Below are 17,492 nucleotides of genomic sequence, written 5' to 3'. Positions count from 1 at the left end.
AAAGTACTGGGATTACAGGTGCAAACCACTGTGCCCAGCCATGCAAGTCAAATTACTGCTCAATTAGTTCAAGGCTTGGGAGTCCAGAGGCTACCAAGTTCTCAGAGACTGACCAATCAATGGCTATGCTCCAGACCCTTTGGACTATAAATAAATAAATATATATATACACACATTTATGTATTACTCCATTTTCACACTGCTATAAAGAACTACCTGAGACTGGGTAATTTATAAAGAAAAGAGGTTTAATTGACTCACAGTCCTGTATGGTTGGGGAGGCCTCAGGAAATTTAAAATCATGGTGGAAGGCAAAGGGGAAGCAAGACACATCTTACATGGCAGCAGGAAAGAGAGGGGGGCAGGGGGAACCACCACACACATTTAAACCATCAGTTCTCATGCGGACTCACTCACTATCATGAGAACAGCATGGGGGAAACTGCCCCCACGATCCAATAACCTCCCTTTGACATGTGGGGATTACAATTTAAGATGAGATTTGGGTGGGGACACAGAACCAAACCCTATCAATTTATATGGTTAATCTTAGTAAAATAACCTTAAATGTGTATATATATATATATATATATATATTTATATATATATATATATTTATATATTTATATATATATATATTTATATATATATATACTGTAGTAAATAACCTAATGTATATCAATTACTTAGCTTTCCTTTTGCATCAGAAACATACATCTTGGAAAATTCCATATATTTCCACATTCCATAAGAAATAGCTAACTCTTCTTTTAAAAGTTCCTGGGAGGCCAAGCACAGTGGCTCACGCCTGTAATCTGAGCACTTTGGGAGGCCTAGGCGGGTGAATCACCTGAGGTAAGGAGTTTGAGACCAGCCTGACAAATATGGAGAAACCCCATCTCTACTAAAAATACAAAATTGTCTAGGCGTGGTGGCACATGCCTGTAATGCCAGCTACTCAGGAGGCTGAGGCAGGAGAATTGTTTCAACCCTGGAGGTGGAGGTTGCAGAAAGCCAAGATCGCACCATTGCACTCAAGCCTGGGCAACAGGAGCGAAACTCCAGCTCAAAAAAAAAAAAAAAAAGTTCTTGGGGAGAGCAATCTTTCACTCTGTGGTGGGTTCAATGTTCAATGTACTAGAAGGGATTTCTTGATGTCTACCCTAAATTTTGCTATTGACAGGTAAATAATTCTGAATGGCATGGATAAAGGTAAAATGTCTTGTATCTCAGAGTTTAACTGTGGGTTTCTCTCTCCTCAGTTCTTGATTTTCAGTCATTTTGTTCGTTTTGTTTTCTTGTTTTTCCAACTTTAGAGTTGGGTTACTCACTGTATTCCCATAATAGGGACTATCCTGGCAGTTGTCCTTTGGAATAAATTGCCTGTCACTATAACAGTTAACAAGGAAATATAAGCCAAAATGTAAGTCTTTTTATTACACTAAAAATGCATCGTTAATTACACAAGTATGAGTAGCCGCCCTTTGGCTGACTTGCCTCCAGGCTTAGGCTGGGGAGGCATCCTGGTCCTGCCATGGGCTGTAATTTACAGAACCGTAAACTTCACTTCCCTCTACTTCCTCCTCCTTTACCCATCCCAGAAGCCACCACAGTTTGTAAATATAGAGCTGTCCTTTTTGGTCATAGTTCACGGCTAGTTATAGCAATATTCTCTGGATACTCAGCCTGACTTTGATGATTTTTTTAAAGGTACCAGTTAAGAATCCCATAAGTTAAGAATACATTTCTCCACAAGTTCAAAGTAAAATTCTCCTGTTTCCATTCCTGTAAGTGCTAAAATAAAGTTAAGAAGTCCCCTTTTTCCCCATTTCTACAAATCTGTATTTTGCTTCAAATTGCTTTTCTCCCTAATGTTTGAAATCAGTAGCCAATGTTCATTTATCATACATTTTTCTGAACACGGTTTCTATGGTGGATATTGCACTGAAGTAAACTAAAAACAGATTGAGACACATATGTATACTCCCTGGAGGAGCTCACAAGACTAACAGAGGAGGAAACCTAGTATGCAAATAATCATGCCCTGGTGCCTCATTGCAATGAGCGATTATGGCATAATAATCTCTCTGAGCTTCAGTCTCCTCATTCATAAAATGGAGCTAATAATTGTTCTTCTTTCATAGTGGACAGAAAACAATTATCACAGTATCTGGCAGATAGTAAGCTCTCAATAAATGTTAGCTATTTTTTATTACTCATTTTTCAAGGTCCAATTCATATGTGAAGGTCCTTATAGTCCAGTCCTGCCTAACTCTCCAACTTTACTTTTTTTAATTAAAAATAATATGAATATGCATATAGAACACATACAACAGTATTGTATTTTTTAAATTATTTTAAATTATTTCTTAATTACAAATACTACTGTCTTCCAAGTGGTGTGAGCTCCAGGAATGATCCAGTAGCATGGTGTGTGAGCATACAAATTGCTGAAGCTGAGAAGTAACTACTCTACGTAAGAAAAGGGCTGGATGCTTAGTTAAATGTGGTGGATAAAGAGTTCATTTTTCTCTCAAATCTCTGCTAAAATGGTAAGTGGATTTTAAAGTTACCGAAACTCAAGAACAAGTGCAAATAAAACATTTCAAAGAGAAATAGTGTGAGTTAAAAAAAAGTTCAGAAGATATAAAGTAGATCAGAATGGTAACTGACTTAACTACAGTCTAAAATGCCTTGAAAATAGGTACCTGATTCAAAGCAAGCCAGAACTCCCAGAGGCTCAAAGGACTTGGAGGTATTTGGTATCACAGAGGGCAAAGAAGAGGAACAGGGCTGAAAAAGAGCGATATGGGTTGAGTGTTTGAAAATGAAGCAGTTGGATTCCTATGCAGACAGGACATCAGCTCCTAGAATTCCCATCTGCGGAAAGAACAGGGAAAAGGACCCAGTGCAGGGTTACTCCAGCTGCAACGTATGTCAATACAAATTAAATCCTTGGGAACCAGAGAAGTGATCATTTGGTGGGTCTACAAATCCTGGGGATCTCCTGTAGGCCAAACTTTGGCCAGAACTCCATTTATGACCTGACCTCCTCCCATGTGTTCTCTCTTTGACAGTGGGGCCATGATGATGATTTGGGTCTCTGAGTCTCTGGATACAAATGTGAACTTGGACTCTATGTCCAACAAGACTTCCCAATGCTGGCAATTCCCTTTTACCCAATATAAATGGTTGCAGGTCTCTTTATGGAAAAACTGCGGTAAACATGACTTGGCATGGTGGGTTGTGTGTGTGTTCATGGGTATAAAAGGGCTAGGTAGGAACTCCAGAAAAACTAATAGATTGTGAAAGAAAATATATAATCATACTGGATTTCTTGGACCCATAGAAAACAGTATTAACTCACAACATGTAAAACACAAAGTTATTATTTTAGCCAAAGAAAGTGATGTAACTGCAATGGTAGGGTGTTGGTGAAAGGAGAATAAGTAGGGCCAGAGTGTTGTCTATGTGCCGGCACTTCAGCTGCCCCTTCAGCGGTCCCTTTCAACACCCAGTCAGTACTCTAATGTGCTGGCTTGGAATAAGGAGGGGAAGCCGCTTGTGTACACGCATAAAGTTTCAGAATAGCCTTGGGAGTCAAAATCTATAAAGGCATTCCCTCAAATGTCCTCATCTCATGTGTGAGGAGTTCAGGTTTTCTCAAAAAGAGTCATGACTATGGTGGTTGAGCTTCCAACCGTCTTTGAAGTTTAGCCAGTCTGAATATCAAATCCAGGGCTTGATCAGCTTTTCCTGTGAACACATTGCATACCATGAGGGCTTCTTTGAAAGCTACCAAGAGCCCCTCTGGCTTTTGTAGTTTTCAATTAATTAACTGCCCTCAGCTTTTCATTGTTAATCTGCAGAGTTTCAATGCAATTTAGAAATAACCACCCAATTTTACTCATTTTTCTTATCCCCCTACACATTTCAATGACCCAAATCATCTCCTTGATGAGTACATGTCTCTCTACCTGCACATCCCAGCTCACTACCTATGAAAGGTTTATCAAGTGGACTGCCAATCATTCCAGGGGCTTTCTGTACACCAATTACCACCAGGAATTGGTTCCTCGTTACTAGCCAAGGAATCAGTAAACTGGCTCCTCTATCCCACCTTACTGCGTTCTTGGACAATTTCAGGCACCAGCAGTCACAGTATGCACTCTCCAGAAAATGGATGTGAGCTTGATTGAGGAGTGAAAAAGTTGATGTGGAAGAACACTTGTAGAAGAAAAGGGATGGAAGCAGGATGGGGCAGGGTGGGCATCAGACCACAATACAGACGTGACAAATCTCTACCAGCCCAATGGGAGCTCTGGATCAAAGACTACCTGTGAGAGGAATCCTGATTGGGTGGAAATGGCCAGACTCTTTTACCACCTTCTTACGTGGTCATAAGCTAGGGGTTATCTGAGAAGAGTATGCACTCAACTACCCTGCTTTGCTCAGTGATCAACTGGAGTATCCTGAGCTTATATTCTGGTGAGGGAAAACAGACACGTAAGCATATGGTTTCTGTTCAATATGGTATGTACATTAGACAGGGTCAACTCAGCATAGCTAAGTGGTGGACTGAATGGGCAGGATAGAGTGGGAGCAAAGACATGCTTCCAAAGGACTCTCACTTGCACTGAATACCGATCCCTAGGGTCATGATCTTCTTCTCATCCTCCTTAGTTAGCATGTCAATTTGAAAGATTGAAATAAGACTATACTGTGTATAATATGTGTATTCACAAAGGGTCAATTTATCATTTTATTCCTAAATGAAAATAACTAAAATGATGCTTGGCATCTTCTAACCACAAATGATGAAATATTTAGCCAAAGTGGAAACTAATTTGATTTTTCATGGAGTTATAAAAGAAAGCCAGGAAAATGTCTTAGTGTAGAATGTTTTATGCCTACTCAATTTTAAAGGTTTAGGAGATTTTCTAACAATCATCAAAAAATATCTATCAAGTGACTATGCTTAGCCTGGTCCTTGCAACAGAAAGATATTTTGCTGTGGGATGTCTTTTGAGTTTGGGATAGTCAATAAATCATTCTAACTTCTAGATAAACCATCACCTAGAAAAACTCTTGATCTGTTTCTTCACAGTGCAACTGCTCAAGTTGTTATAAATTTACTTGATCTTTTTTCCTTCACTGGAATATTTAAATTACAGAAGTAGAACATACTTGAGTTTTTTTTTAAAAAAAAGAGAATGATAACAAAAATAGTTACCTATCATCTCTCCTTTATAGGAAGAATACCAGTTTTGTTATTTCCCATCTGCTTTTCTGGATATCTTACTTTCAATCTCGGCAACCTTACATGTGTGAAAGAATTACCAGGCTTAAGCATTCAAATCTATTAACTTAATAGATTGCAATTCCCTACAATAAATTGTTTTATCACTGGATAATTGCAATATAGCATACCATGAAGGAGATAAGCTCAGTTATCTGCCTAGTTTTAATTAGCAACTATCAAGATACATTTGAATTGAATTATTAAATCATCTTGAAGAATTCCTCATAGAATTTGTTGTGACAAAATTATTGTCATCTTTGTTCCTCTTGATTTATCGCACAGAATATATATATTCTATAAAAATATCTTTGCCTGTAAATATGTTTCTTAGATAATATAAACAGTTCTATCAAGTCATAACGGGTATATAATGGATTCCAGGCTCTGAAAATATCTCAAATATTTGACACTTTTATGAAATCACTAAAAATAAATCCACAAATGAAAATTTAAATCTTTCTATGGTGCCAATATTCTTTCTCAGTCATAAGCCAGGGTACCTTGGCTAGTTGCTTCCCAGAACTTCAGAGACATGGTACTCAGAGAAAAGGTCTCTAAGAGTCCTTAGCCAGGGTAATGGACACCATCAATTATTTTCTTAATCATATTATTTAACAATAGGAATTCCTTGGCCTTGAATATTCTACTTGACTTTAATGATGTGGCCTCTGTCAAATGTTGTGCAAGAAAACTACTGAGGTTCCACAGGGCCACATGTCCATCTGGGTTTGATTTAGTTAAGCCATCAAGTACTTGTGTGTAATACTTCAGACACATGGTTTTGCTTCTCTACTTTTCAAGTAAGTTCTATTTACTTAGGCAGATGTTGCAAATTAGCTCTTAAAATACTGCAAATGAAGTAGGGAAATTCTTTATGGTAGATCTAACTCTAATGTGAATTTCATTACTAACTCACAAAGACAGACCAATCCCAGAATTCTATGCAAGTCTTCAAGAAAGTATTTTTTAAAGAAATTTGAAGATGTTTCCCTCCCCCAACACTTCCTTGTCCCTCGATACGTGTTGTTGTCTATGCACCTCATGGGCATCTTAGAAATCTGGAAGACACTGAGCTCAGATTCACTCTTGGCCATAGAAAATGTGAGTACCTTAAACTATTCCCCAGTTTCTTCAGTTGCTCCATTCAACCAAAACTGAAAGAAGTACTCTACTAAAGCATCCAGTTAAACTTCAGGTTGTAAGAATTTCATTAATTAGGCATGTGAGTCAGTCAATTCATTAAAGTCACCATAAGACAACATTAATTTATGTAATAGCACATAAACTATCCAGTTAAGACATTTTAAAATGCTGCTTTGAGACTATACATTATGAATAGAAAATATGTTTAATCATTATTCAAAGAATATCTAGGTTTTGTTTTCTTTTTAACTGGTCCCATCCAAAAGGAATGATATATGAAAATTTTAAAAATTAGAATAGAGCATGTCTCAGTAAGCTTATCTATTCACATTTTCAACTACCTTCTCTTTGCTAATGACTCCTAAAACTATGCCTCCAGCACTCATTTTTCTCAAATAGTCCGGCTCCATATTTTCAACCAACTGCACTATGAATCTGTCTGGATATAATTAGAACCCATCATAATTACTTCAAAACGAATCACATTGTCAGTTACACCATGTTGGGGAAGGCCGGACACCTGAGTCTTCTAAACTCAAAGTGTTCTCTGAGTGCCAGCCGCATTGGCATTACCCAAGAGTGTGTTAGAAATACTGAGTCTCAGGCCCTACCCAAGACCTACTGAGTCATCATCTACATTTTAACAAGATCCTCAGGTAATCTGTATAGACATTATTAAAGTTTGAGATGCACTGACATAGATAAAGCACATCGATTTCAGGGTCTGACAATTTTGAGTTTGTTTTCTAGTTCTGTGATTTATCATCTGTGAGGCTATGAGCAAATTATTTAGCTTCTCTGAATCTCAATTTCCTCATCTGTAAAAATAAGGATAATGATATTTCAAAAGGTTGTTGCAAACATAACCAAGAAAATTGGGATTTTTAACTGTGTGAGAGAGAAATAAATCAGTTACATCAACTATTAGGTTGAACCATATGAAATGGCTGCCTCAGTAGGTGAAAAAAAAAAGTTCAAATGTTGACAGTTTCCTAGGGCTCATCCTTTTGTAGCAGAATAAGCTCTTAATACATTACTGGTAATAAGTATCAGCATTAACTTTCTATGGCTGCCATCACAAACTACCACAAATTTAGTGGCTTAAAACAATGGAATACTGTCCTCTCACAGTTCTGGAGGTCAGAAGTCCAATATCAAGGTGTTAGCAGGGTTGGTTTTCTCTAGAGGTTCTGAGGGAGAATTGGTTCTGTCCCTCTTTCTTTGCCTCTGGTGTGCTGGCAGCCCCTGGCATTCCTTGGCTTGCAGGTGCATCACTCCAACCTCTGCCTCCATCTCTGCCTGGCTTTCTCTGTGTCTCTGTGTGTCTTTCCCTTAGTGTGGGACACATGTCATTAGTTTTGGGGCCCACCCTAAATCCAGTATGACCTCATCTTGGAATCCTATTTCTAAATAAGGTCACATTCTGAAATTCTGCATGAACATACATTTTAAGGGGACATTTCTCAACCCACTACAGTACCCTTCCTCCCTCCCTTTCAGTAATACTGGTAATACCAATCTTAAAAACTCAGAGTTATTATTGATGCTTCAGTCTCTCTCTTTTTTTTCAGACAGAGTCTTGCACTGTAGCTCAGGCTGGAATGCAGTGGCATGATCTCGGCTCACTGCAACCTCCACCTCTGGGGTTCAAATGATTCTCCTGCCTCAGCCTCCCAAGTAGCTGGGATTACAGGTGTGCATCAACACACCCAGGTAATTTTTTGTATATTTAGTAAAAATGGGCTTTCACCATGTTGGTCAGGCTGGTCTCGAACTCCTAACCTCAAGTGATCCACCTGCCTTGACCTCCCAAAATGCTGGGATTACAGGTGTGAGCCACCACACTCAGCCTCATATTTCTTATATTCAGTTGTGCCCAAGTCTAGTGGTTTCCTTCTTCAAAACATTTCTCAGCTTTTAGCAATGTGAGACAAAGTTTATGTTATAAAGTTCAACAAAAAATAGAGCAGGTCATAACAGACCCACAGCTTAAGAAGGCTCCACCATTGGGTGAAAAAGCTGTGAGGGCTCAGGGCTTGATAAGCTTCTAGCATTTTTTTTAGGAAAATACACCCTTCCTCTGGGCTAGTGTAACCCTGCTTTCAGTACTCATGCACTTTCTCTGCAGAGTTCTTTGTATTGTGAATTACCCTATAAAATATGTAACACATCTGAGTTATAAAATGGATTATATTAACCTAATAGTATTAACATTAAAATATATACTGAAAATTAATGGAAATGCATCAAAATGGTAGTAGTGGTTGTCCCTGAAGAGGTGAGATTAAGGGCAGAGTCAAGCTCTGTCCTCCCCACCCTCACTTTCTAGAATGAATGTATATTAATTTATTACAGGAAAAATAACCTAAACCCTCCTTCAATATCTTAGAGAAAAAAAATTATAAAAAAAGAGTGAATAAATTATCTATCAAATGGAGTTGTCATTTGGCTGAATTTTAAAAAATGAAATTTAAGCCAAAACTCTAGAAGATACTTTTAAAAATTAGAAGAAAATATAGGAAAAGAGTTCATTGGTATCTGGATTTTCTCAGTATTGAAGCAATAGAAGTGTTTTAGTTATTTGTTGCTTTTTAACAAACCATCTCAAAACAATCTGTCATTTATTATCTTTCATGAGTCTCTGAGTTGACTGGCATCAGGTGAGTAGTTCTTCTGTTCCACAGGGTGTTGAATAGGGCTGCAGAAATCTGGAGGCTTGACAGCGTCAGGAGGTCTAAGATGTCTCTTTCATATGGCTTGCAGTTGGTGATGGCAGTCGCCTGAAAGGTCAACTGGGTCTGTCAACTGGAGTGCCTCAGTTCACCTCTATGGGCTTCTCCATGGGGCTGGAAGGTGAGAATTGCAGATCTCTTAAGGTGAAACTTGGAAAGTTATGTAATATCATTTCCTATATTCTATATGCCAAAATAAGTCAGCCCAGATTCAAGAGGAGGGAAAAGAGAAATAACTCTCAGTGGGAAGAGTGACATCTTTAATCCACCACTAACAGCAATAAGAAAGGAAAAGATTAATTCCTACAATTATAGGAAAAAATTCCAATTGTCAAATGCTTTATGAAACAATAATAAATGAGGGACAACATTAGAAAAATCTGCAATAAATATGACTAATAAAAGCTTATTGTAAAACTCTCAGGTATAGAGATTTGAGTTATATTCCTCAGTTCATAGCACATTATTTTTTTAATCTATTAATGGCCTCTTTCTCTTATTTTACTTATTTTCTTCCCCTTCATTTCAATTCTCACTTCTGTTTCTCTCCTTAGCATAGGCAAACGCTAAAGCTCCTCTGTTGCATAATTCCAGGAATTGTGCTGTATGTAGTAATCTTGCTACCCATTCTGATACATAATATCTACTCATATACCTTAAAATATGTGAGCAATCTTTTAATATATGTAGTGCTATTTTGTGCATTGTTTTAAATATTTATAAATGATGTTTAACTTTAAATCTCATGCCTTGGGATTTCCAGTCCCCAGACCCTCATTTAAGAAGCGTGGAAGTGGTCACTCCATTCTGAAAACAAATAAAAAGCTAAACAGATGGAAAAATTAACTTTTCTTTGATGCAAAACAGAAGTGAGTTCAAAGGGAAATTGTAGAAACCAACAGAATACAGAGAATCACAATTTATCAGAGCAAAAACCTATGAGCAGCAATCTTCAGGGAACAAGTGCCAGGGAAGGGAAACCTGAACTGTAACTGATGAATTGCTGGAGGCAAAGTGCAGATAGCTGTGAGAGACAAAAACTCCAAGGGGGCCCAGTCATGAGAGGAAGACACCACACTCATGATTTTTACTTCCTGGAGTTCTACCAGGTTCTCACAGTGAATATTAAAGAAAAAAATCCCCGTGTACTTCCAACAGAGGGAAAGGAAAAGAAATCATTTGAAATATGCCAGAGCATTCTGTTCTGCTCTCAGGAGAAACTGTTTATCCAGAACCTAACCTGCTGGTATTTTATCAGAGCCTAACTATTCAGGGAGAAGAGAAATACCTAACTCCAGCTTCCTCTAGCCATCCTGTTCCACCTAATGGATTGGGGATGGGAAGACAAACTGAAAAGCATGTGTGAAGTTCACAGTCCAGAGGCATAGGCTTACTAAAAGACCAAAACCTAATCATAGGACTACAGAATTATTCCTCGCCCCAACCCTTCACCACCACATTGCTAAAAGTACAAGACATACTGAAAGCCAAAAAACACAGTTAGAAGAGACATAAAAAGCATCAAAACTAGACTCAAATATGACAGTGATGTTGGAATTATCTGACCAGGAATTTGAAACAATTATGATTAATAAGCTAAGGTCTCTAATGGATAACATAGATAACATGCAGAAACAGATGGGCAATGTAAGGAGAAAGACGGAAGTGCCAAGAAAAAAAACAAAAAGAGAAATGCTAAAGATCAAAAACACTGCAACAGAAATAAAGCATGCCTTCGATTGGCTTATTAATAAGCAAGATATAGCTCAGGAAATAATCTTTGAGCTTGAGGATATCTCAATAGAATCCCTCTGAACTGAAAAGCAGAGAAAAAAATGAGTGAAAAAAACTGCAGAATATATAAGAACTGTGGAACAACTACAAAAGGAATAACTTACATGTAATAAGAATACCAGAAAAAGAAGAAAGAAAGGAACAGAAGAAATATTTGAAACAATGATTAAGAATTTCCCCAAATTAATGTTAAACACCAAACTACAGATCCAGGAATCTCCGAGGACACCAAACATGGTAAGCATCAGAAAAACTACACCTAGGCATATCATTTTCAAACTACAGAATATCAAAGATAAAGAAAAAATCACGAAAGAAAAAATCATGAAAGAAACCAGAGGAAAAAACACTAAACCTACAGAGGAGCAAAGATAAGAATTACATCTGACCTCTTCACAAAAACCATGCAAGCAAGAAGATGGTAGAGTGAAATATAAAAAGTTTTGAGAGAAAAAACCACAACCTAGCATTCCGAACGTTGCAAAATTATCCTTCAAAGGTGAAGAAGAAATAAAGACTTTCTCAGACAAACAAAAATGGAGAGAATTGTTGCCCATAGATCTGCCTTGCAAGACATGATAAAGAAGTTCTTCAGAAAGAAGGAAAATAATATACATCAGGAACTTGGATCTACATAAAGGAGAGCTTCTGAGAAACAATAGTGAAAGTAAAATTCTTATTCTAAATTCATCTAACAGATAAAAGTGTTCAAAATAATAGCAATGATATATTCAATTATATATTATATATAGTTATATATATTGTTGAATACCTGTATATTCAATTACACATTATGTATATAATTATGTATAAATGAAATGAATGACAGCAACAATACAAAATATGGGAGGGAGGAATTAAGATTATTTTGTTATAATAAGGTACTTGGACTACCCCTGAAGTGGTATAGTGTTATTTGAAAGGAAACTTGAATTAATTCTAAATGTATGTTGCAAACTCTAGAGCAACCACTAAAAGTAGTAAAAAAATAAGTACAACTGATATGCTAAGAGAGGAGAGAAAATGGAATCACAAACTGCTCAGTTAAAATGCACATGCCTGTAGTCCCAGCTACTTAGGAGGCTGAAATGGGAGGATCCCTTGAGCCCAGGAGTTCAAGAACAGCCTGTGGAACATAGTGAGCCCCTTCTCTTAAAACAACAACAACATCAAAAACTGAAATAGAAATAAAAGCACAAAAGGCATACAAAGAGTGGAAAACAAAAATAGGAACAAAGGACAAGGGCAAAAAAAGAAAACAGTAAAAATATGGTAGATATTAATCTAACTATATCAATAATCACTTTGAACATCAATGGTCTGAATATGCCAGTTAAAAGACAGAGATCATCAGAGTAAATGAAAAAACAAGACCCAACTATATGTTGTCTGCAAGAAACCCACTTTCAATGTAAAGACACGTACAAATTAAAAGTAAATAGATGGGATTGGATAATCTCTTACATGTGTAAAAACAAATTTAAAACATTGAGTTATTGTATATCACTAGTTATAATAACTTATCAAAAGTCTACTACAAATTCTGATAAAGGGTAAAGTTTTTTAAATAAGTGGATGACAAAAGATAAACGATGCTAACACTAATCAAAAGAAAGCAAGAGTGGCTATATTAATTTTGGACTAAGCAAACTTCAGAGAAGAAAAGTTAAAGATTACAGAGAGGCACTACATAATGACAAAGGGACCAGTTCTCAAAAATTTAATAACAATTCTTGATGCTTATGTACCTAACAACAGAGCATCAAAATACATGGAGCACAAATTAATAGAACTATAAGGAGAAATGGATGAATCCACTATTATGGTTGAACACTAAATCTTATGCCTTTTTCTAATTTTTTCTGTCAATGCTGTTTTTGATATTTATCCATTGCTGTAGTTTGATATGGGTTTTTCCCACCAAAACTCATGTTAAAATTTGATTACCAATTTGGCAGTGTTTGGAGGTGGGGCCCAGTGGGAGGTGTTTCGTTCATGGAGGCAGATTCCTCGTGAATGGCTTAGTGCCATTCTCACAGAGTGAGTGAGTTCTCGCTCTGGGTGAGACTAGATTAGTTCTCACAGGAATGGACTAGTTCCTGTCTAAGTAGGTTGTTATAAAATCAGGATGGCCCTTGGGTTTTCCCTTTTTGCACATATTAGCTTCCCCTCTGACCTTTCACCACGTTGTGATGCAGCACAAAGCCCTTACCAGATGCTGAGCAGATGCTGCTGCCATGCCCTTGGAACTTCCCAGCCAGCATAACTGTGAGCTAAATATACCTCTTTTCTTTGTAAATTACTCAGTCTCAAATACTCTGTTATAGCAACATGAAGTGATCTAAGACATCCATGTTTTTTATATGTACAATTGATCACTGAACAATACAGGGGTTAGGGACACTGACCCCCTCCATGCAGTTGAAATTTGTGTATAACTTGGACTCCCACAAAACTTAACTACTAATAGCCTGCTCTTAACCAGTAGATCTTACCAATAACACAAATAGTTGATTGACAAATAGCTTGTATTTTATATGCACTATATACTGTATTCTTACAACAAAGTAAGCTAGATAAAAGAAAATGTCATTAGAAAAATCATAAGGAAGAGAAAATGTATTTACTCTCCATTAAGTGGAAGTGGATCATCATAAAGATCTTTATTCTCATTGTCTTCACATTGAGTATGCTGATGTGAAGAAAAGGAAGAGGAGGGGTTGATCTTGCTATCTGGTAGGTGGCAGAGATGGAAGGGGTGGAGGAGGTGGAAGCGGAGGCAGGAGAGGCAGGCACACTTGGTGTAACTCTACAGAAATACATGATAATTCCTGTCTGACATTTTTTGCTTTTTCATTTTTCTAAAAATGTTTCTATAATACCAATCCTTCTTACACTGTTTGCTTTAGTTTCAGTGTCTATATTACAGAAAGATCCATGTTGCAAAAGAAGTCAAAAGCAGTTTTGAGTCATCAGAACCCTTCTGCCAGCTTGTCTAATGTCAATTTATTTCCTGGCACTGCTTCTACTACATCTTCTTCCTCATCGTCAGGCACTGGTTCTCTACATCAAATCATCTTCTGTTAATTCCTCTGATGTGGTGTGTGTTATCTCTTGAATTTCTTCACGATCCATATCTTGAAACCCTTCACACCACCCCCAACCTTTTTTTTTTTTTTGTCATATCCACAATCTCTTTCATGATTTTCTCAATTGGCTCCGTTGCAAATCCTGTGAAGTCATGCACAACACCTGGACACAGTTTTCTCTGGCAGGAATTTGTTGTTTTGGGCTTGATGGCTTTCACAGCTTTCCTATAGCAATGCTGGTATCTTTAATGATGTAGTCCTTCCAGACTTTCATGTTATTCTATCAGAGTTTTCTTTCATAGCGTTGGCAATCGTTTCCATACAGTACCTTGTGTAATAGGCCTTAAAGATCCTTATGACCCCTGGTCTAGAGGTTAAATTAGAGACGTTGTGTTTGGGGGCAAGTAGACTACTTCTTCACCTTCAGTGTTGAATTCATGGGGTGGCCAAGGACATTGTCCAATATCAAAAGAACTTTAAAAGGCAGTCCCCTACTGGCAAGGTACTTCCTGACTTCAGGGACAAAGCAACGATGGAACCAATCCAGAAAAAGGGTTCTCATTGTCTGGACCTTCTTGTTATACAACCAAAAGACTGGCAGCTGGTGTTTATTTTTTCCCTTCAAGGCTCAGGGGTTAGCAGCTTTTTATAGATAAGGCCAGTTCTGATTATAAACCTAACTGCATTTGCACACAACAGTAGAGGTAGCCTATCCCCTTCCTGCCTTAAATCCTGGTGCTCACTTCTCTTCCTTACTAATGCATGTCCTTTGTGGCATTTGTTTCTAGAATAGGGTACTTTTATCTTCATTAAAAATTTGTTCAGGCAGATATCCTTTCTCTTCAATGATTTTCTTAATGGCATCTGGGAACTTGTCTCCTGCCTCTTGGTTGGCACTTGTCTCCTGCCTCTTGCTTCTCCTGACATCTTTTTGTTTGTTTGTTTGTTTTGTTTTGTTTTGTTTTGTTTTGTTTTTGAGATGGAGTCTTGCTCTGTCGCCCAAGCTGGAGTGCAATGGCATGATCTTGGCTCACTGCAATCTTCACCTCCCAGGTTCAAGTGATTCTCCTGCCTCAGCCTCCTGAGTAGCTGGAATTACAGGTGCATGCCACCACACCTGGCTAATTTTTGTATTTTTAGTAGGGACAGGGTTTCACCATGTTGGGCAGGCTGTTCTCAAACTCCTGACCTCAGGTGATTCACCCACCTTGGCCTCCCAAAGTGCTGGGATTACAGGCATGAGCCACCACCCCCAACTGATATCTTGCCATTTTAAAATCCAAGACTCTTTCTAAAACTATCAAACCATCTTTTGCTGGCATTAAATTCTTCAGCTTATGTCCTGCACCTTCCTTTTTCCTTAAGTTGTCATATAATGACCTCTCTTTTTCTCAAACCATATTAGAGTCTATAGATATTCTTTTCATATAGCAATCCTTCACTCACATAAAAACTTCATTTTCAATATCAGATAAAAAGATATTTTTCAGAAAGTATAAGGTTTTTTTTGCACGTGCTGGTGTAGCTGCAGCAACCGCTTCACAAATTTTCTTTTTTTACACTGGTCCTTATGCTGGATTCATTTATCTTGAAATGGTGGGCAACTGCAGCGGCAGATCTCAATCTATGGTGTATATCAAGCGATTCAACTGTTTCTTGTAATGTCAGGACTTTTCTCTGCTTCTTGGGAGCACTTCAAGCATCATTAGGGGCATTTCATATACATCCCACAGTATTACTCAAGGTTTATGGTATTGCACTAAATATGATGAAAAATATGCAAGAACAACAAGAGATCACTTTTTATGGCGATATGTGATTTACTGGAGAACTGGACTGCTCACACAGAGATGATTAGCATCACACAGCATTTTAGATGGATATTTGCAACATTTGAGCTCACTGCAATAGCAAGAGGAGGTGGCTATGAAATTATTACAGTAGTACAGTATATACTACAGTTACTTTTATGCAGTTATGATTTATGCTGCATCTTTACATTTTTTAGATTTCTGTCAACTGCAAACAGCACCACATATGATCTGTGTTTGTGTCAGATTGTCTAATGTCAATTTAGGTATATTTTAACTTTGTATAATAAATTTGTGATATTTTATGTTAGTAAATGATAGAATAGACTACTATTTACATATATTTTATGCATTCATGACATGTATAGCTCTCTCTTAATTCTTTGGTATTACTAGGCTATGTGGTTCATCTATGAGTTTTTTTCAAATTGTTGCAAATCAAAATAATTTTCCACTGTATTTACTGAAAAAAATTCACATATACGTGAACCCTCACAGTTCAAACCTGTGTTGCTCAGGAGTCAACTGGTTTCTCCTGGCTGCATGGTATTTCATACTCTGCATCCACAATATTTTATGTATTATTCTCCTAGCAATGGACACCTACTTTGGCTGCAATCTCTTGCTACTGTAAACAATACTGGCATGAAAGCCTTTTATTTATTACCTCTCAGACTCTAGCCAACCCTTCTGAAGGCCAGGTTCCACAAACTGCACTTCCCAGACTTCCTTGTCAGCTCACTTCCAGTTATGTTCTTCCAGTAGAAGGTACTGGCAGAAGATCACAAGACATGAGGTGGGGAAAAGGGACTCTTCCTGCTAACAGCCTCTACTGGCATTCTTCCATCAGCAGTGGGGAGCTAGGGCTGCAGCCTAGAGCTTCTTTCAGTGTGCGTAGCACCAGCAGCATCACACCTGCTTGGAGATAATAGCAGATGAGCTGTGCCCCTCAGCAGTCTGAGCACCAGCTGTATACACTTTCAGTGGTTCATGTACCACCAGCCTTATGGCACCTTTCTCTAAGAGGTCTGGGCACCAACCCCAAAGGTTCCCTCCTCAAAGTCCCTATGTTGTGGTCATACCACCTCTTTCCTTTGGTTCCCCCAGTTGCAAAAGTGATAGCTGCTATCCACGGTTATTAATCCCTAAGTTACCCCAGTGTGCACTATGACCTCTTTTATCCTTCCAATACTTGTTTAATCAGCCCCCTGTGTTGAATACTTACTTTTGAAATACCTAGCATGACTTTTATTTTCTTGTCTGAAACCTGATTGATTCATCTCCTTGAATCTCTGTGCAATCATTTTAGGGAGAAAGGGGAATTATACTCAGAAGTGAGATCATCAGTTACAGGGAATATGCATGTGTAATTTTAAAAAATATTGCTAAAGTCCTTGCAAGCATGGCTGCCATGCTTAAACTCCCTCATTAGTGAATAAGAGGCCTCATACTCTCACATTCTCATCAATATTTTATATTTGATCCACTTTCCTAATTTTTGACATTTGGGCATAAAGTGGTGACATGGTTTGGCTCTGTGTGCCCACCCAAATCTTATCTCAAATTGTAATCTTCACATGTGGAGGAAGGAACCTGGTGGGAGGTGATTGGATCATAGAAG

The sequence above is a fragment of the Homo sapiens genome, chromosome 4 (genome assembly GCF_000001405.40).
Source record: "Homo sapiens chromosome 4, GRCh38.p14 Primary Assembly".
NCBI classification, from domain to species: domain Eukaryota; kingdom Metazoa; phylum Chordata; class Mammalia; order Primates; family Hominidae; genus Homo; species Homo sapiens.
This window is presented reverse-complemented; position numbering follows the sequence as displayed.